Source organism: Homo sapiens, chromosome 14 (genome assembly GCF_000001405.40).
Source record: "Homo sapiens chromosome 14, GRCh38.p14 Primary Assembly".
Lineage (NCBI taxonomy): Eukaryota > Metazoa > Chordata > Mammalia > Primates > Hominidae > Homo > Homo sapiens.
In genome coordinates this window covers 87448789-87470731 of record NC_000014.9, presented here as the reverse complement: position 1 = coordinate 87470731, position 21943 = coordinate 87448789, and the positions used below count along the sequence as shown (strand labels likewise).

Sequence of the window (21943 nt, the reverse complement as noted above, 5' to 3'; positions counted from 1 at the left end):
ATATGAAAGATATTTTTTTTTCTTAAAAGAGAAATTCTGTTACCAATGTTCTTTTTAATTTTAATTTTAGATTCAGGGGGTGCATGTGCAGATTTGTTACAAGGATATATTGAGAGATGCTGACGTTTGGGCATCTATTGATCCCGTCATCCAGATAATAGTAGTACAAGATGGGCAGTTTTCCAGCCCTTTCCTTCCTCCTCCCATCTTCCCGTCTTCTGGAGTCCCCAGTGTCTATTGTTCCCATCTTTAAGTCCTTGTGTACTCAAGGTTATCTCCCACTTATAAGTGAGAACATGTGATATTTGCTTTTCTGTTTCTGCAGTATTTCATTCAGGATAGTAGCCTCCAGCTGCTTCCATGTTGCTGCAAAGGACATGATTTTGTTCTTTTAAATGGCTGCATAGTATTCCATGATGTATGTGTACCACATTTCCTTTATCCAATCCACCATTTTTGGAGGACACTGAGGACCACCTTCAATGGCAAAACGCAAAGCACCATGACTAAGTCTATAAGAGATTTGAAGATGTGAGTCTTGAATATGAAAAAGTTTAGGAAAACTTGTAAGAATTTATTGTACTTGCATTTTCATTTTTAGTGCATAGTCATGCTGCATAATCAGTTTATTTTAAATAAGTCTTAAAGAGCTATCTCATTATGTATGAAATAAAAACTTCAAATAATGAATGCATTATTTCACAGTTTAACTAGCAGCAGGTTTACTTTTGCAGTACATATGGTGATTTATCTTACAGTTAATAGTGTCTCAGGTTTGATATTATAGTATTAGCTATTAGTACTTTAGCTCAAATGATTCGACATCTTTTGCTTATTTTCTGATACTAATGTTTTTCCCACAAAAATTTACTCTTATAGCTAAATTTTAAAAAGTAACGTTCCAGACGCAGTGGCACGTGCCTGTAATGCAAGCACTTTGGAAGGCTGAGGTGGGAGGATTGCTTGAGTCTAGGAGTTTGAGATCACCTGGGCAACAGAGTGAGACCCCCCCATCTCTACAAAAAATTTTAAAAAATTAGTCAGGTGTGGCAGCACACACCTGCATTCCCAGCTACTCAGGAGGCTGAGATGGGAGGATTGCTTGAACCCCAGAGATTGAGGCTACAGTGAGCCGTGATTGCTCTACTGCACTCCAGCCTGGGTACAGAGTGAGACCCTGTGGGGAAAAAAAGAGTAAAATGTTAAAAGTTCAAGATTCAAACTTCTTTTAAAATAGAAGTAAAATTTTCCTTAAAAAATGGTATTGGCTGGAAGACAGTTTTAAAGGACAAGTTTGTATCTGAGGCTGGTACCATCCAAGAGTATTGTTTGCATGAGCATTCTCCAACATTGCCATTTCAGTAAGAAAAATATCAGATTTTGAATAATATTTTCTGAATTCACCCTATTAGATTGTAACACCTCTCTCTAGCAGAAGGCAAAAGTGTTATTTGCAAACGTATTGGCAGCATCTTTCTTTCTGTATATAAAGAAATGGTTGTAAGAAAGTTTCTATTAGGTAAGTAAAATAGAGATATACATATTAATCTATTTTATCACTTTAAGCATAAAATCTCACAAAAATTCTTGTGCATATTTTCTGCATTTTAGACTCATAAGTTAGTCTCTTAATGTGGACTAAGGCAATATAAATTGTTTATGACATAGTAAATTGAAGATGGTACATATTTAAGAAAACATGTTTTAATAATGTTTAAGACTTATCCCATTACATAAAAACTCCCTTCTCACCTTGCATAAAGTGGTAGAATTTTAAAGCTGGAGGGAGCCTTAGATCATCAAGTACATGCTGTATTTTATCATCTAATCTAACATCTTGTATCTCAAGCTGATTGTCTTTATTTGTAGCATTTTAAAGAAATGATTACTTCTATGTTACCTATCTTTGTTGTCATAATATGTGGTATCCATATCAGTGATCTTTGAGCCAGGGATCTCAATCTCAAATATCTAAATCAGTCAGCCAGGAGAGTGCATGAGTCAGACTGGCCTGGTGATGTCTGAAGACCATGGGAGAATGCGAGTCTTTCTACAGAGAGTGACAGACAGCATTCAGGACCAGATGACAGAGGGAATGCCAAATCCAGTCCCCATATTGCTAAAACTTCCTACTCCAGAGAAAACAGAAATCCAGATTTTTAATGTGCAGTTTCTCTATTGAAATTCACAATTGATTAAATGTTTTTGAAAACTATGTGAGATAAACAAAATATATCTTTAGGCCACTGATTTTCAGATTCGGATCTTGGTATTTATATCATGAAATGTATAGTTTATCCTGAAATAGTCAATTCCTCCACACAGACTGACTGCAGGCAGAGGGGTTTGTGCCCAGGTGAATTTGACGATGGTAAGCTTTCTCCGATGCTTTGGAGACCCAGAAATGTGAATGGAAATGAAAGCACAACAGCTTCTATTTACCAGCCTAACTGACAAGCCTATCAAATATTTTTTCTTGCTTTGCTGCTTATGTATGGGTTCTATTTTCTAGACTGTCCAACAGTCTTTAAAAATAAGCAATTTTCATTTTGCATCTTTTTAATATGAAAATATGTGGCTGGGCATGGTGGCTCACACCTGTAATTCCAACACTTTGGGAGGCTGAGGTGGGTGGATCACCTGAGGTCAGGAGTTTGCGACCACCTTGACCAACTTGGAGAAACCCAGTCTCTACTAAAAATACAAAAAAAAAAGGGAAAGAAAAAGAAAATATGCCACATATTAAGCTAGGTAGTTTCAGTTTAACAAGCAGTTATTCTATATCTTCTCTGCAAAATATACCACTCTATATTCTATACAGTTATGAGTAAGACATGTTTCCTCTGTTCAAAATTTTCTGTGTGACAGATACATCCCCTCAGCCATTCTTTTCTTTGACATATTTCTTCATTACTCCTTAATTGCATACTGTCTGGTGCTTACAATCAAAATGACAGCAACTTATATTTTTCTGTAGACACTGTCTTGAGCATTGTGCATTAGTATTGCTGGCATTCCTCACAACACTGAGAAGTAGAACCTACTTTATCATTCTGAAACCTGCCATTCCTATTTCACAGATGAAGAAACTGTAACATGAATATACTGTAAATAAATTACCCTGTGGACACACCAATTTCTGCAAAGGATCGTCTGATCTCATTGTCTATGTGCGTCTTTATTTCCGTGTAGACTGTCTCCCAACAGGAAAAGACTGGTATGCCAGTTTGCTTTGTCAGTCTCTTATTTTTCTGGAATTAGCATCACACTTGGAAGTAATACACACTTTACACTAAAGCAAATGGAATAAATCATGATTTTCTTTATGCCTATATTTATAAACTAGAAAAACCACTTGTGTAGAATCTACAAAAAGAATTACCTTGTTGATAGTATATGATAAGATGTTTACAAACTATGTGTCTCATAGAAGTAATTACCATGAGGAGTAGAATTATAATGAATACTAATGAAAATTTGTCAAGTCTTGACTGACAGCTGACCAGAAAATCTACATTATCACTGACTCTTATTCTTTGAGTTCTCCAGAGTAAGGCTTTGAAGTTGATGGATTAACAAGTCACCAGATCCTTCAGTGACATTTTTCAAAACATAATTTTGTTTGATGTTTGGAATATTATTGTACAGGTGGACAGAAGACTCATCATAGTGGTTCCCGGTTCAATAAATAGTACCATCATATTCCAAGCCCACATATCAGATGCCTAAAAACACCTTCCTGTTTTTAGCCAGCCATTTTCAATCCATCAGTAAGTCTGTCGAACCTGTCTTTGAAAAAAATCTCTTAAAGCCTCTCATTTCTCTCCCTACTACAAAGTAAGTGTTCAATAAATGTTTGCTCTAATTATTACTATTGTTGCTATTTTTCACAGTCACCAGATTAGAGCAACTTACTATCATGGTTTGCTTGAACTACTGTAATAACCTCCTAGTTTGTATTTTATATCCAAATTCACCCTTAGCGCCCCCACCCCCAATTTTTTTTTTCATGCTCTAGCTAGATGACCTCTTTAAAAAGCTAGTCTTGCCTCACTTCCCTTGGAAACCCTCTCTGGAGATCCTGCAATGACTGAATTCCTGTCTATTTTCCCATACCCTCTCTTAGCATCGTTTACCTTCCTTTTGAAATACTAACCATAATTGTAATTTTACACACATTTATGTAAACCATTGATTAATGCCTCTCTCTTTCTAGACCATAAGGCCTATGAGAGTTGGAGACTATTCAATACATATCCGTTGAATTCATGAATGCTGTGTTATTAGATTCACTAGCTAATAAAAAAGCGTTTAGCATAATGTAATAATAGAAACAGCACATTTCCTTTCATCTGAATGTTTATGGTTGTCAGGCTCTGTGCTTTGCAGGTACTGTTCTAATGTCCAGATATACTCCCATGGAGTTAGGTTTTTCTATTTAGGGCCTCCAGGAGAAATGAGCCTTAACTGTGAGACATCCATAGGCCAAACTAACAGTGTCTATAGTGTCTGCTGTTTGGTTCCTCTTAATCCCTGAAAGAAAATAGACTAAGATTGTTCCATTCATAAAAGGGTGACTTGTGACTTACATATCCCTAGACAAACGAATGCATTATTCATGTGTTCACAAGTTCATGTAAAGCAAAGAAAGCCTAATGAAGATTTATATCAGGATCTACTTTCTGACTGTAAAATGTATTATTCCTTGGGCTTATCGTGCAAAGAAGTGGTGGAAACCTCATTCTCTGAGCTATTAAGACTCCGTGAACAACAGATTACTCTAGGGACCCATCCTTATGGATTAGGTGGGGAGATGGTCATGGATTTGATGATATAATCAGTCATCTATCTTCTCAAGTTTTGCAAGAGGGCAGAAGTAAAAAGTGTGGCCAGTGGAAAAGCTTTAATCATTATTGAATATTCGTGTTAAATAGTTGTATGATATAGAATGGAATTAGCATCCTATGTTAACCTTAATCTTTTGTGTAAATGGACATAAAACCTCCGACTCCCCCAGGCAGATGCCTCTCTACCATGAATTTATAAGCCTAATGTGTATTCCTCTGCTGGAGCCCTTGGCTATGTGGTCTTCTGTGCTCTCACCCAGTCCTGTAATCACCTCTTAATATTTCTATATCTTCAGGGACAGCAGGATACCTGTCACAAAGATGGAATTGGTCATTCGTTGGTGGCATGAGTAAATGGATTGATGAATGATGGTACCCATATTCCTGGGAATTATATTAAGCAATTATTGACTTTGAGAAAAAAGAACCCCAAACATTGCTACTATGGTAAATTATTTTCACTTTCTATTTTGCACTTCTTTTTTTCTGATCCTGATTTGCTATTGTATCTGTTTCTCTTGTTTCTTTTCTCCTTTCATGCTCTCTCTCTCGAAAGAAGTTTCCCATCCTGCTGAATTAAAGGCTAATATCAGTGCCCTTTATGACATCAAAACTTGATTCTGACTGACAAAATCCAGCTGGCTTTTGCATTCTGCTTTTTTAAAACCTTTGACATAGATTGTGTTACTAAGTATTGCTATGTATGTTTTCCAGTTTGGAAATCAGTAGAAAGGAGATAACCTTTAATTATCTTTGAACTGGCCAGCTTAACAGTTAAACCTAGGACTCAGACAGAAAATCCATTTTTGGTTTGTTTTTGAAAAGCCAGCCATCCATTCTCTCAGCCAGTGTAAAACCTTTTTCATCTGAAATCTCCTTTCAACTTGAGTAGTGTATGAAGGCTGGGCTCTCCAGAGATGGACCACAAACTGAAGTTTAGGGCATTGAAGACATTCGTTTGAATATTTGTGATAACATATTGCAACAGTTATCTGTAACAGCAGCATAATTTGTTCTTTCTGAACATGGTAATATTTTTACTTTTTAATGAAGTAATTATTCTCAGATTGTTTCTTTAATATAGCATGTAGAGTATATTTTAAATGTCTACTTAATAATTAATCATTAAAATTAGAATATTTAGGTTACATAATTTAGTAGTAACCATGTACCTATGACATAGGCATTATTTTTCCCTTTCCGCAGATGAAAAAACGGAAGTTCATTGAGGCTATTAGATTTATCCAAGGTCACATATTGAGTTGAAGGACTCAGGTCTTTGTAACTTTAAAGCCATGTTTTATGCCAATGCCTGTTCTTAACAATTTTAAAGATGATATTACAATTTGACATTTACATTTTGAAAAATAATTTTTATTACCAGATGCTACATGGGTTAGCTGAGACATTTCAGGGAATTTAAAATGATCTTGAGAGTTTAAGTTATACTTAATAACATCATGTTCTCTGAGTGGTGAAACTTCTTTGACATCCATTATATATGCTACGTTCATTTCACAGGAATGGTTGCCTGGTGAACGACTACAGCTTTGCTGGTAGTACAGTATATTAGTCTGTTCTCATGCTGCTAATAAAGACATAACAGAGACTGGGTAATCTATAAAGAAAAAGAGGTTTAATGGACTTACAGTTCCACGTGGCTGAGGAGGCCTCACAATTATGGCAAAGTCAGGTCTTACATGGCAGCAGGCAAGAGAGAGGCGGGGACTCTCTTTGTGCAGGGGGACTCCCCTTTATGAACCCATCGGATCTCATGAGACTTACTCACTATCACGAGAATAGCATGGGAAGGGCCCGCCCTCATGATTCAATTACCTCCCACTGATTCCTTCCCATAGGAATTATGGGAGCTACCATGTGAAATTTGGGTGGGAACACAGCCAAACCATATTAGAAAGATTTCATTATGCACCATCAATGAGTGGTCAGAACTAACAGATGGGATGTAGATCCCACCAATCCACAAAAGCAGATGCACCCCTGAAATGTTCACTTGGGGCATAGTCCGCGTGGCATCTCAGAAGAGGGAGCTGTATTGATCTTTGCCTTGGCAGTGTACTGTTTCGAGGCTTTTCTTCTCAAGGTGAGTCAAAGAAGAGTGAAAGTGGTTCCTATAATTTATTTCCACAGATACTGTCCATTTGTCTTTATCCTTTTCTTTTTAAATAGCTCTTTGTGTGTTAAGCCCTTGCCCTTTCATCCTTATGTTTTCCTCTGAAGTAGAAACAAAGGGTTTACACAATAATGCTGAGGCATGAACTCTATTGAGTTATCATCTAAAGTCCTTCACTGATTAAGTGAAGTGCTCTTACATCAACTTCAAATTTGGACCTCATCAAAATAAGCACATTATTATGAGCCATGTCATCATAGTCATTTGGGATAATTAGTAAATAGATGAAACAACAAATTTTAAATTCGTGGTTGTCAAATATTTACCACTTTAGCCTGTACTGTGCACAGGTATTATGAGATGGGATTACGTGGGTACAGAGAAGAGTAAAATATATATTTCCCCTTAACACCAATAATATAGTTTAACATATATGTGAGTAGAATGTTCTACCAAAATAATAATTCCAGGTAGCAATGCAGTAGAAGACTTCATGGGTGGGAAGAAAAAAATAAAAAGAATTTCCATGGAGCCATGGAGGATAGAAATGGGGTTAGGAATTCATCCAATATGGCATAGCCAAGAAAACAAAATAAGAGGTTTGAATGCCCTTCAGACTCTTGAGCAAGTTTTGCTCCAAGCCCTCTCCTTCTGCGTCAACTCAGTAAGTCCCTTCTCTCTTTCTGAACCCACAATGCCTCCAGAAGTTCCCTCAGAGTCTACTTGAACTGTCTGCTTCATCCATCCACCCATGTAGCAATGAATCCATGTATTCTCAAGCAATCGTACTACAAAATATATATTCCCATTGGAAGACTGGTGTTATTTTATCCTGAGATTCCCCTTCTTGTCTTTCCTTAATATATTTAAGATGGTTTAGGACTCCTATTTACCTTGTAATAAATTATACCTCCATAAGTATCTGTAGTTAATCTCAAATCATGGTGATTTATTTTGAAGGGAGGTGTTCAGTAAGTTATCTATAGTAAAATAGTAGTACAGATTTAAATGGTAATTGACACATGATTAATACATGTTTATGTTGAATTATTTTGGTCCTATTCTTTTAGCTTTAAAAGGACTACATTTTACAAAGCCTTACATAGTAACAATATGTACACTCTTACATTTCAATTAGGAAAAAAATTAAAAGTTGTTAACTGAACATAAAATGATTCTATATTTAATTTTGTATATAATCCACAACAAGAAAATATAAAACAGGCACAGCTTTTATTAAAACTTGTCAGTACAATTTTATTAAAGGAGGAAAAGAATATTGACCTCTTTTAAGTCAGGTTGTGGCTTTGAAAAATTAAAAATATAATCACAATATGATATTAAGATACCACATCCATTTAAAACGCAAGATACACTTAAAAGGAATTGTTAACACTTTGATTTCAATAACTCTTGTGTTTTCTCAGTGATTTTACCATTTTGGTTTTGGGTGAAACAGAGGGTGCAGTTTACGGAAAGGAGGGATAGGAGGAAGAACCATTTTAAGCATGTGAGGTACTTGCATTAGAGGTACACCAGCTGACCCATAGCCACGCCTCCTATGCATGTGGCACTCAGTTTCCTTTCCCAAGAAGGCTTAGGCATTTTTGCACCACCCAGTTCTAGAGAGAGCGGAGGTAAATGAGACAACGCTGAAGATCCCAAGGGGATGATTTCCTCCACAAAACTGTAACAGAGAAAAAGTGATGTACTCATGTTGTGGAAAGGAGTTCATTCCTTCTCCTACCTGTGTTTATTTTCTGTTGATTGGCTGTGGTTAGGAGGGTGGTAGCTCTTCACTGTAATTCACACTCTGCCTGAGTCCAGATTGTTCTTGGCCCCAGCTGGAAGCGTACTTATTGTGTCAGCAAGAATCCAGTGGGCTCTGGAGTGTGACCTGCTACTGGGTAAGTGTAGCTTAGCCGGCTCTTGTGGAGCTAGGATCAGCGTGGCATAAAGCTGTTCTCAGCATGACAGTCCATTTATAGAGAATTACGGGTTATTTGTGGCCGGTCTATTTAAGTTCCAGCTGAAAACATTTTCTCCTTACATTCTGATTCTGTAATTAGAAAGCAAAATTCAGCTAGATTTTTACAAATCAACTTACCTGTGCTGATTTATTATTTAAAATTTTCTAATTTATTTATCTTTTGCTTATCAGCTAATATGGGGAAATTGAAATTTTATGTATTTTAAATTATATATTTGAAACATTTTATTTTTAAAGAAGAACAGTCATTTAGGAATCTACAAAGTTATGCAACAATATCTTGAATAGGTTCTAGTTTTTTGAACTGTCTTAGTAGCATATAATATATGCCACCATTTCAATAGAAGAAAAGTTTTCAGTGAATACTAGTAAAAATTGGTTTTGCCTAAATTCCTCTCCTTGTTTACTTATAACAGAAGTAAAATCTCATATAAAAACCATATTGACATTTCAAAGATTCTTCACCCATATTATTTACACTCTTTGGTTTACTGAGTTTTATTAAAACTAATCTTTTGATTTTTTTGTTTAGCATTTTAAAGTTATTGGGCTGAAAAATATGTAACCTTCACATTCCATAATTAACTGTTACAAGATTTTGATACCCTGCGGAGTGGTGTGTACCTGTGGAACAGAGATTTATTAAAGTTTAATAAATGATTTATATCTGCACATCCTATTGAAAAATGAAAGTTTTACGGCCCCCAAGCTAGAGAATATCATCTTTCTTGCTGAGCTAAGGTGATGATGGCATTTGTAAGGCAATAGATAAGTTGTAATAAAAATACTGGCAGTTTTTGGAATGTTTTTCATCTATGAATCTTGAAGTTATTTACAAATATCAGGTATAATTTCAGTGAATCATTAATTGTCAGTGTTTTATTTCCAGTCATACCAAGTCATGTCATCCAAAGCAATAAGGTAGAACTAAACTACTTATTTTCTGAATTAATGGAGAAATTATATGAATAATATAAAAAATGAACAATAATTAAAAATCAGTCTGGGCATGGTGGCTCATGCCCATAATCCCAGCACTTTGGGAGGCTGAGGCAGGTGGTCACCTGAGGTCAGGAGCTCAAGACCAGCCTGGCCAACATGGCGAAACCCTGTCTCAACTAATAATACAAAAAATTAGGCGGCTGTGGTGATGCATGCCTGTAATACCAGCTACTCGGAAGGCTGAGGCAAGAAAATCCCTTGAACCGAGAAGGCAGAGGCTGCAGTGAGCTGAGGTTGCACCACTGCACTCCACCCTAGGCAACACAATGAGACTTTGTCAAAAAAAAAACAAAAACCATATATATATATATATATATATAAAGCCATATATAAACATATATATATAAACCCATATATAAACATATATATATATATAAACCCATATGTATATATAAACCCATAGGTGTATATATATATATAATTTATAGTTTGCCTGAATTCACTCTGTTTCTTTAGAGAAAGCAATATATTTGCCATAGTGATGCAATCAGGTATGGCATGTGCCTCTGACTATCATTTCACCAAATGTGTAAACATACTTTGTTATCTATGTGGCTAGTAGGGTTGCCAGATTGAGCAAGTAAAATTATAGGACACCCAGTTAATTTTGGATTTTAGAAAAATAACAAATCAATGTTTAGTATAGCATATTTCTATTATTGCATGTAACATACTTATGCAAAAAAGTTATGTGTTGTTTATTTCAATCTATATGTAGCTATGCATCCGTATTTAACCTCAAAAATTTAGAAATAAATGTTTAGTGTGCCTCCATCTAACTGGTCCCCACCAATCTTCCAGAAGATTTTTAGGAGACGTAGAATACTGAGAAAATAAGGTGAGTAGCATTCAAGAATTAAGGTAAGGATCTTCATGAAAACTTGCTGGATCCGAAGAGAAACTCTCTGACCTCTTCAGGGCAAAGATCTCTATAGCACCGGGCAAAAGCCAGAAATAACTTCTCCTCTTTCAGAAAACTCATCAACGATGATAGCAAGTAGCACAAAAATAAAACAAAACAAAAAATCTTGCTTTTCAGGGGTCTCCTCTGTCTCTGTGTGGTGGAATCCTCAGAGAACTGACTGAAATTCTACCATAAAATTCATTTAAACACTGACAGAGACTGAATTAACCAGGAAGATTCAGTTTAAGCAGCAATAACCATTTCCAATCATAAGATTAAGAGCGAAGCTTTTGATAGATGCTAGGGGAAGTTACATTCTTTGGACTTAAATGGTTTCATCCTAATTTTAGTTTCTAGCTGCTAGTTACGGAATCTTTACAAGATTTAGGCACCTCAGCTCATTATAGTGCTGTACATCCACTGTTTCTCCGTGTATTGTAAATGTTGCATTAATCAGAGGTGGAAAAGAAAGAAAGGATATCAGTTCTGAGAAAGAGCAACGTAGTATAGGTCAGTGTTAAACTTAACAACTGAATTTATTGGTGACTATTTTTAAAGCACTTACTTAACTCTATTTGCTCTTTAAATTTTAATGTACAGATGTGTTGTCACTTATATACCTTTTTTTTTCCTCTCTACAAATGTAGCATGGGTTCCCCCTGCCTTATCTGTTTGATGTTCATATTTGGCTAGTTGTATTAATGAATAGGGCTCTGAATGCAACAGTTGCCAACCTCATCTTATTCCATCTCTTCTCTTGTAAAAGTTATGAAAACAGAAAAGTACTTCAAAATTGTTTTGTTTTTCCGTGTCTGTGAAGTTTATTTTTTCCTTCTGCTATTAATGCAATTATTTTTCAAGCCTTGTAAGACCTCTTCACATCAATTTTTCTGAATATAGAAATTCCTTGATCTTTATTATGATTTGTAGAGTTCTTTGAATATGAATTCGGTAGTCACCATAGACCAACTATAAGCAAATAGAAATCTCATGCTATTTCTCATTATTATTTTCTAGATTAAATACATAGCTTATTATTAGTAGTAAGGATCAATATGTATAATAATTTATGATGAATTTTTATTCTTATATTTTTGATCATAGAACTATTTGTCCAAATAAAATGTTACAATGAAACCTAAGGAAATAATAGCTGTAAAAGTGAGTCTCTTCTAATATATTTGTCACTTACTCCTATCTAACCTGAGTTGGGAATGCTGGGAAGGTTTTAGGAACCCCCTGGAACTCCTCAAATCACACTTTGAAGAGCAATGCCCTTTACAAATGTGACAGGACACAGAACATTATTAAAGCCAAAAATAACTGAAGAAAGCAAAAGAAATAGGGGATTATTAATAAGCTTTCTCTGTTTTCTAAGTCTTCTCTCCTATTTAACATTTAAACTGATATTAAATGGCTACAGACCCAGTGGAATATTCCTATATTGATCCACCTCACTCCAGGTTTATCTGTCTCTCTTCAGTTGATGATATCATTTTATTTCAATTGTTTGCATGTCTACATCTCCTTAGACTGTGCACTGGGGGTAATGTCTTTCTTAACTGCATATTGACAGGACCTGCAAGACCACTTGGCACACAGTAAGACCTTGATAAGTATTTTTTAATTAACATATGAATAGATAAATGAAAAAAAAAGAAGAAGCCCAGCTAGCACAGATGTTTATTGTGGAGCATCTTATCTGTCCCCCAAATGCCCTAACACAGCTTCAGCTGCTGATTGGCATAGAAGACCCTAAAACTGTTGAGTGGGATACCCAACGTTTCGAGTACCCACTCCTCTACCTTCAATTGAGTTGGGAATGTATCCCTGATGTACAAATTCTGCAACTGCACCGGGCTTCTCTGGAGCCTTCCCTCTCCAACTGAAACCACACATTGAGAGTCAGAGGAAAGGACATGGTGGCTGTCCAGACTCTAGCTCTAATAGCCGTTTTAGCCAAATAGAAAGTGAAAGCATTTTCTTTTACGATGAAGTTCTGAATTGTTCTCTAAACTACATTGTTTTTTCTATTGCCGTCAATTTCTCAATTTCTTTGGTAGTGTGTCTTCCTCACTCCTACCAAAACAAACCAACAATGTGAGGGGTAACTCTGCTTCTCTTCTAGGATTTTTTTTTTAAGTTAATTACCTCCATAAGTCATCTAAACTGATGTGTATGCATCATTTTCTGCAACTTTGTTTTCAATAAGTATTGAATTTTGGTCAATTATACTTTTAATGATATAAACTTTAAATTTGATTATATATTATGTTTGTTCATAAATTTAGGACTATAGATTTCTTTTATTTAAAACTATCTGATTTAATTTTTGATAACACAGGAGGATGTCTTTCATGCAGTTAACACACATGGAAACTTTAAATGCTACCTTCAGAATATTTTCCTCACCCGTATGTCACTCCTTCATCTCAGCACTTCCATCTGATTTGGCCCCTCAGGTATGTTCACACACAGCATCCACTGCTTCCCTACTAAACTGTAAGCCCCTGGAAGTCAGGGCGAATCTGACATTTTATCCTCAGTATTTAGCATAGGGCCTAACACATAGTAGGTACCAAAAAATTTTTAAAAATGAAAGAGGGAATATGTATTGAACATCGATTATATAGCTTTAATAGATAACGCAAAGATAAAGGTTGGTCTTTGTCCTAAGGGAGTTCACATAATGAGAAGACAGGCATATAAGTATATCAACATGATTTTAAAGACACAAAACAAACTTATTGGATTCATGAGTATCCAAACCTTAGAGTAGGGAAAGTGTATTAGGGAGCAAGGGGTAGGGTACATTGCAGGCACTTGGGACAACACTATATTTTGTCAAATCTAAGACAACTATTGTAAGCGACACAATTAAAACTAAAGTGTGATTTTTAAAAAATGTGTGTTAAGAAAGACAGTGTACGCTTGATTTTTTAAATAATGTTGACTGAATTTGGCCTAATATGCTATCTCCAAATTAAATTGTGTTATTTAGACTTATTTTGAGTTGAAATCAGTTGCAAGTTTGTGTTCATGATGAAAAATTCAAAAATATTTAAGGGTTACCTAATTACAGATTTAACTTGTATTTTTAAGTGATATTAACCATATTTTATCAATTTTTTTGTTGTTGTTGTTGATACAAGTTCTCGTTCTGTCACCTAGGCTGGAGTGCAGTGGCGTGATCATGGCTCACTGCAGCCTCAATCTCCAGGGCTCGTGTGATCCTACCACCTGAACCTCCTGAGGAGCTGGGATCCTACTACCTGAACCTCCTGAGGCGCAATATGCATTGCGCCACCATGCCCAGCTAAGTTTTTATTTTTCTTGTTGTTGCTGAGCTAGGGTCTTGCTTGGTTGTCCAGGTTGGTTTCACTCCTGAGCACAAGTAATTCTCCCAACTTGGCCTCCCAAAGTGCTGCAATTACAAGTGTGAGCCACCATGCCCAGCTGTGTACTTTAGCAATTCTAAAAACATTTTTTTTCATATTCTAAGTGACACACTTATTGCTGAAATTGGAATGTGTCATTTGACCAACAACGTATCATAGTTTAACTGGCAACATTTTTCTTTTCAGACGTGTGTAAAGTGTTGTTACTTCTTATAACCAACACTATTTTAGATTCAAAAATATAGTAAGTTATTTTGTAATTATTAGTTGAGGCAACATAGTGAAAAACAAACTAAAACATATTAAAATATAAAAACTAAAATATTTGGCCAGGTGTGGTGGCTCACGCCTGTAATCCCAGCACTTTGGGAAGCTGAAGCAGATGGATCACGAGGTCAGGAGTTCGAGACCAGTCTGGCCAACATAGTGAAACCCCGTTTCTACTAAAAAAATACAAAAATTAGCAGGGCATGGTGGCGCACACCTGTAGTCCCAGCTACTTGGGAGGCTGAGGCAGAAGAATCACTTGAACCTGGGAGGCTGAGGCTGTGGTGAGCCAAGATCATGCCACTGCACTCCAGCCTGAGCAACAGAATGAGCAGAATGAGACTCCGTCTCAAAAAAAAAAAAAAAAAAAAACCTAAAATATTTAAAAGTGCTTTATTTTAAAAGTTTCCAAATGGAACACAAAATTATTTGAAGTGTCCTTTAAAGTTATTGCTAAAATCAGCTAAACCTACAAGTAGAATTGAACTTACAAGTTAAACTCAAAAACTTAATGATAAAGTAAGAATTTGAATTGGTAACTTAAAGAAACCCAACATTAATTTTGGAAATAAAAGAGAATATCTAAAAAGTATTTTGTGTCTATGAAAGTCACCCTTCTAGTCAGCTGAAATTGCTCAATTGGGAGAGCATTAGACTAAAATGTCACCCTTAAGTTCAACAAAAAGATAAAATACAATTCAGAAGGCAAAAGTAGTAAGAATAAAGGCAAAGAGTTACAAAATAGCCTGACATCTTCAAAAAACTGGGGTGTAGAATGCATGTGGGGAGAAATAGTAAATCAGTTAGAGAAGGTGGTGGAAGGTAGACAAGAAAGAAATCTTATGCTAAGCGCTTTCGAAATTCCTCACAATCAATAGGACGTCTGATTCAATGTTGATAGAAATATTGGGTGAGCATCGTTGTGTTGTTCTTCAAGGGGGAAACATGCTGTCTTTCACTGGTAAGTGTAATGGTTGGTAGTTGAAATTTTTCATCAATGCCCTTTTTCAGGTTGATAAGTTTCTATTTCTACTGAGATTTTTATCATGAATGAATGTAGAATATAGTAGAATTTTTTGAGCGTATCGAGAAGATCAATAACTTTTTTCTTTTTCATCTGTCGATATAGTCTATTACACTGATTGATTTTCAAATGTGGAACCAATCTTGTATTCTGAGGATAAAACCCACATGGCTCTGGTGTATAATTCCTTTTATGTTTTGCTGAATTCAATTTACTAATATTTTGCTAAGAGTTTATCTGCCTATGTTCATGAGAGAAATATTGTTTTCAGTTTTCTTATAATGCCTTGGTACAGCTTTTATATTAGGACAATGCTGGCCTCATGAAATAAGTTGGGAAGTATACATATATCTTCTATTTTCTGGAAGAGTTCGAATAAAATAAGTATTAATTCTTCTTTAAATGATGGGAAGAATTCATCGAGGGAATCACCTAGACTTGGAATTCTCTGATATTTTTACCCATAAATTTAATTTATTCAACAGACAAAATGTTATTCTGCTCCTCTATTTTTCTTTCTTGAGTGAGCACTGGCAGTTTGTGTTTTTAAGAGATTTATTCATTTCATCAATACTTCCAAATGTGTTGGCATAACGTTGGTGGTAGTCTTTCCTCATCCTGTTGTAGCACTTACTGTGATGTCCCCTTTCTCTCTTCTGACATTGGTCATTTTTAATTTCTTTTTTTTCTGTTTTCTTTGAAAGAGCCATCTTGGATTTTAGTGGTTTGTCTGTATTTATTTTTCTGTTTTAATTATTTTTCCATGTTTTTTTTTTCTTCCAATTGCTTTGTGTTTAATTTGCCCTTATTCTGTTTTCCTAGGGTGGAAGCTTAGTTCATTGACTTCAAAATTTATTGTTTTTTTCAACTATAAGTATTTAATGCTAAGAATTTCTCTCTAAATACTAAATACTGCTTTACCTGTACCCCACAAATATTGGTATGGTATGTTTTTATTTCCATTTAATTCAAAATAATTTCTAATTACTTGGTGCTATGGTCACTGGAGGTTGGTAAGAATTTTTGTTCTCTGCCCCAGCCTCAGTACTAGAAAGATTCCATGTCTCTGGGCCTTAAAAGTAGGGCTTTCTCAGCATTTCTGCTGCCACTTTATTAGAGGTTGAATTGTGTCCCGCTCAGAATTGGTACTGGTAACCCCTAGCATCGCAGAATGAAACCTTAATTGGAAATAAGGTCATTGCAGATGTAATTAGTTGAGAAGAGGCTATTAGGGTGGGCCCTAATTCAATGTAACTGATACTCTTATCCTCCTATCAGAAGTATTTGTTTTTTGCCTGGGTCCCTGTGGCTTGAGTGTTTCCTGTACTCTCCCAAAAACCAACAGTTTGAGAAGGGTGCCTTGTATGACAGAAGAGGCCTGGGCAGTGGGCGAGGCTTTATGCCCCACCCCAGCAGCAGCTGATTTCCACCCGCTCACCTGCACCACTGAGGGGGAACTCTCTTCAGTCTCCTGCCCTGCCTGCAATCCCTTCATCTTTCATAGGAGCTTTATTTTTTAGGTGGGGCTTGTGAAAAAGAGCTTGCCAGTGCCTATAAACTTCTTCATGTGAGAGTTTCCAGTCTTTCTTAACTGATATGATAACCCACATTCAGCCTTTAAGAATTATTTTAACATTTGAGCAGATTTCTTTCTTATCTGAGTCTATGGCACCAGCCACTTCCTCCCATGTTCCATCAAAGGTAAGGAGTTTGTTTGTCCGTCTTCGCTCCTCAGAGGAGCTGACCCTTTGGAATTCTGCCCATTTTGTTGCTTTCAAATCTCAGGTCCCGGTGGGCTCAAGAAAAGCAATCATTTTGTGCATGATCTGGCTTCTATCTTATTGTTGAGGTGGAAACAATGGTAATATGGGTGTGTGTATTTCTACCTTCTAGGTAGAAATTGAACAAAAGCATTCTTTGCTATTATACCTGGGTTGTTCTTCACTGTTCCCTGGGAATCTGTTACGGAAATTATGCTGAGCTAATAATTCTGATGGGATGATCTTCACTCATGCAGACTGTGGCGTCATGTAGAAGGAAGGCTAATATGGATGTGAGGTTCAAGATCAAGGTAAATTCTTCATCTTACTGGTGCTTATAAGAAGATGGTATGTTTCTTTCTCTTTTAAACTAAAAAGAAGGTCTACCAACGTGTGAAGTCGCAAAATATGGCATGCCTATTGTTAATTTTAATTGAGATGCAGAAGACTGTCACTACTGGGATATTCCCATTTAACTACTTAGAATAAAGCTCCTCCCAAATTTTGGAGCCAGAAGGATGTTGTTACATTTGCATTTCAGATTAAGTCAGTGAAGTGGGTGGTGGGTTGGACTGGTCCCAGCTTAGGGACTTGAATAAAGTTCTAGAATAATTTGACTAAATGTACATAGATATCCAAAGTTGCCGCTACACCTGAGAGTACTATCAAGGGTTTTTACAGCAGCATGGTGACGGTTTTCCCACAACTAAGGCATTGTAAAGTACAATGTAGGTTTGTTTAGAAACATTTTCAAGTTTCCACAACATATATGCAATGATCATATGCCATGAAGCACCATTAAACATTAACATTTTTGGAAAATTTACTGTAAGAGAGGTATTAAATTAATGGACTATACATATTTCACAAAGATTAATAATTATTATATTATTAGTGGTCATATTAAACTAATATAACTAATAACATAAGCTAATAATATAGCTGATAAAAATATTAGCTATAAAAGTAATAGCTAATAATTTTGTGCTAGGTGTCATGTTAATTGCTTTATAGTTTGTCCGATTCTTATTAACAATGATAATAACAATATTGATGATAGCTAATATTTAATCAGTGCTTATTACATGCCCACTATTTTGCTAAGCCCTCTGCCTACTTTATGTCATTTAATCCTCACAAAAGCTCTGTCACATATGTACTATCATTCTTGGTATTTTATGAGTGAAAAAAACTGTTCCACAGAAACACAGTTTACCTTCAGAGGTAAAGCTATTTTCCAGTGAGACCATGCTCTTATGCTGTTTGTATTGAGCCTACACTGGATGGGGTGGAAGGAAAATAAACTGTCCCGTGAAGTGACCTTCCTTCCAATAGTGTCTCTGATACTTATAAATTGCATTGCATGGGCTAATTACATAACTTTCTTGAGCCTTGATTTTCTAATTGGTAACATGTATGTGCATAATACCATCTATATTTTGAAATATTACAGGTAATGCATGGGCCGGGTGTGGTGGCTCATGCCTGTAATCCCAGCACTTTGGGAGGCCAAGGTGGGTGGATCACCTGAGGTCAGGAGTTCGAGACCAGCCTGGCCAACATGGTGAAACCTCATCTTTACTAAATATACAAAGCCAGGTGTCGTGGCTGGCACCTGTAATCCCAGCTACTTGAGAGGCTGAGGGAGGCAGAATTGCTTGAACCCGGGAGGCGGAGGTTGCAGTGAGCCGAGATCACGCCATTGCACTCCAGCCTGGGCGAAAGAGTGAGATTCTGTCTCATAAATAAATAAATAAATAAACAAATAAATAAATAAATAAAGGTAATGCATGTAGAGAAACTATGTACATGTATTTCACACCTTTCCAGTCTCTGGACCTAAGACAGCCTTCTGGCTCACAACCCATTGACAGAAGGAGAGGTCAGTATCCATGAGAAAAAATCCTGCAATATAATGGCAAGTGTTACAGTAATGATTTCCCATAATAATGTTTCTGACCCAAGGACAACTATGAATGCCTATATTGGTATACTTGGGAAAAGGGAGCACCCAGTCACTCTATTATTGTTGCATATGGGTCTTAGTTGGCTTTGATATTTGGGGACCCAAGGTGTCATCATGGCACCCCTGTTAGAGTGGAGCTAGATATATGTTAAAAGGTGTCATCATGGCACCCCTGTTAGAGTGGAGCTAGATATATGTTAATCAAGTGAAGTATGAAGTTCTGCTGCAAGACTGGCTCACAGTAGGTTTATTGAGATGGTAGAGGTTAGGCTGATCAATATTGAGAGGAAGGAAAGACTTTCCAGAAGACTTGAAGAGGAAGATCATGCTTGGCTCCAGAAGCAACATATAGTTCTGAATGAAAAGATAGTTGACATAAAGTGGAAGAGTGGCCAGGATGGATGAGTGGATGGAGAGTTAAACATGGAACTCCCGTCATGAAGGCCTTGTGTTCTGATTTGATTTTGCAGGCAATGGAATCATAAAATAATTTGAAACAAGAGAGGGATGTGAACATATTTTATACCTAAAAGATCACTCTGGTAGTGTTATGAGAGACGGATCCTGAGAACCAAGGCTGGTGACAAGGAAAGCATTTAGATGACTAATACACAAATACTGGTGATAAAGAGAGGACCTAAAGTAAGGGACACAGACAGAAGTGAAGAGATTCAGGAGATGGTAAGAAGGTAGATGCAATGGTATTTAGTGACTGATTGAACATTCAGGAGAGGAGAAGTAAGGGATGATTCCTAGGACTCTGTCTGGGAAACTGGGTAAAAGAGATGCCGTTAACTAAAAATTGAAACAGAGAGAAGAAAGCCTGGCACAGAATAAAGGAGATAGGTGTGGACATGTTGAAGACGAGAGGCTACACAGACACTCAGATGATGCTGTTCAGTAGGGAGCTTTTGAATTCAGTGCAGAAATCAAACTGTATGAGCAGATTTGGGTGTCACCAGGAAGCAGATGCAGTAACGGTATAATAGTAGATGAGCTCACCTGGGTAATGTACATAGTGTAAGAGAAAGAGGGTGAGACTGGAAGTTTGAGTTATGCAACTTTTAACAGGAGAGGAGAAGGTGTGGTCACAACTCCACCTACAGCACCAGGAAAGATCATTGTCAAGGAAGACCAATGAAAAAGGCAGTGAGTTGTCCACAACATTTGGTATGGTGGAGAAGTGAGCTGAAACAAAAGCGGAGGTAGGTGCAGAGAGAGGCCTTGGGGAGAGTAGAGGTCTCATCTGAAACTTTCTTGGATGTCTCCCTTGCTTTTGTTTAATAAAAACTAAACACAGTAGTCCTATTCCTGGACATTCCAGTTTGCCAATCGCCCTTCTGCCTCGGGGCCTCTGTATCTTGAGTTTCTCTCTACCTAGAAGGCTCTCACCCAGCCCTCTTTTTGCCTACCTCCATATCATCTCTTGGTTCTTAGATCAATTCTCAGTGCCTTTGGATCTTGCGTGAGCTTGTACCCTGAGTCGAGTCTCTCTGCCATATACCCTCAAGATACATTGCATTTATTTGTATGGCAGTTTTCACAAGAGTTATGAAATAATAATTGTGAAATTTTACTTTACATGTACATTTTTCTCCCTACTCAACTGTGGGTTTAAAGGAATAGTGGCTTAGTCTCTTGTGCTCAATGTTGTGTTTCCAATACCTGGCAGAGTGCCTGCAACGTAATAAGCATTGAATAAATATAATTGAGCTGATTTATTTTATTCATTACTAAAATTCAGGTGTTGCTTACTTTGTGTCAAGGATTGTTTTAAGCCCTTTATAAATAGCTCACTTAATTTTTGAGTGTAAAATACAGCAAACACGGAGCCGATTGTAAAATTATGGACCAACTTCCAAACACTTCTTTATGACGACGCTTTTCAGGAGGTTGAGGACAAGTAGGATTTTCGTGACAATACAGATCAGAGGAGAGTGACAGTCCTGGGAGCCAGAATGCCTGGGATCCAGTGCCACCTCCCCCCTCTTAATAATTATGTTGTTTGGGTAATCACTTAATCTTTCTGATCACTCAATAGTCTCCTTTTTATTAATCTGTAATATAAGGATAGTAGAATAGTACTACCTCATGGTTTGTTATGGGTACTCAATGATTTGACATGGAGTAGTCCTAAGTGTTACTATTACATTTTTGATTGATAGTCTACCACTCCTTCTCCCTCCTCCCACCACTTCCCTTCTTGTCCATACCTGTCTGTCTTGGAAATAGGCCATTGACTCTTAGCCATCAGAAACAGCCTAAAAATTAATTTTACCTCTGGGCATGTCTCCAGTCACATGTCTCATTTATCTTCTGGTGACCTGAGTGGATTTCAAACCCCCAGGTTTATATGAGTCCATTTGGTACTATTCTAATTGAAATTATACTGCTATTCCTTATAAGCAGAATGTAATTACTTTAGCTGGCATTTGGACATGACTCTCGGCTACCCCCATTAAAAATTACATGACCCTTTCAATGACTATAGCCACTTTTTTTTTAACATCAGCAATGAAGAGCAGATGAGGGGAAGTCTCCTCAATGCATACAGAAAGATGGCACCATCTCTTTGGCCTCGATTATAGGGCGAAATCTACCATTTATTTTCATTGATGTGCCACTGTAACATTCAAGCTAATGCTATATGA

At 36.7% G+C, this 21943-nt stretch overlaps 1 long non-coding RNA gene across 2 annotated transcripts in view; it reads left to right on the top strand.

The window, feature by feature from the left end:
• Positions 1 to 21943, top strand: part of LINC02296 (long intergenic non-protein coding RNA 2296) — a 268818-nt gene that overhangs the window by 142732 nt on the left and 104143 nt on the right. The window contains exons 4-6 of one of the 2 annotated variants that reach the window (XR_007064294.1): positions 13222 to 13339; positions 14049 to 14197; positions 17584 to 17637. This is a non-coding gene — a long non-coding RNA (long intergenic non-protein coding RNA 2296). Of the gene's footprint in view, positions 1 to 13221; positions 13340 to 14048; positions 14198 to 14902; positions 17638 to 21943 lie in introns of those variants that run through there. The other variant, XR_007064293.1, reaches the window with a different exon arrangement.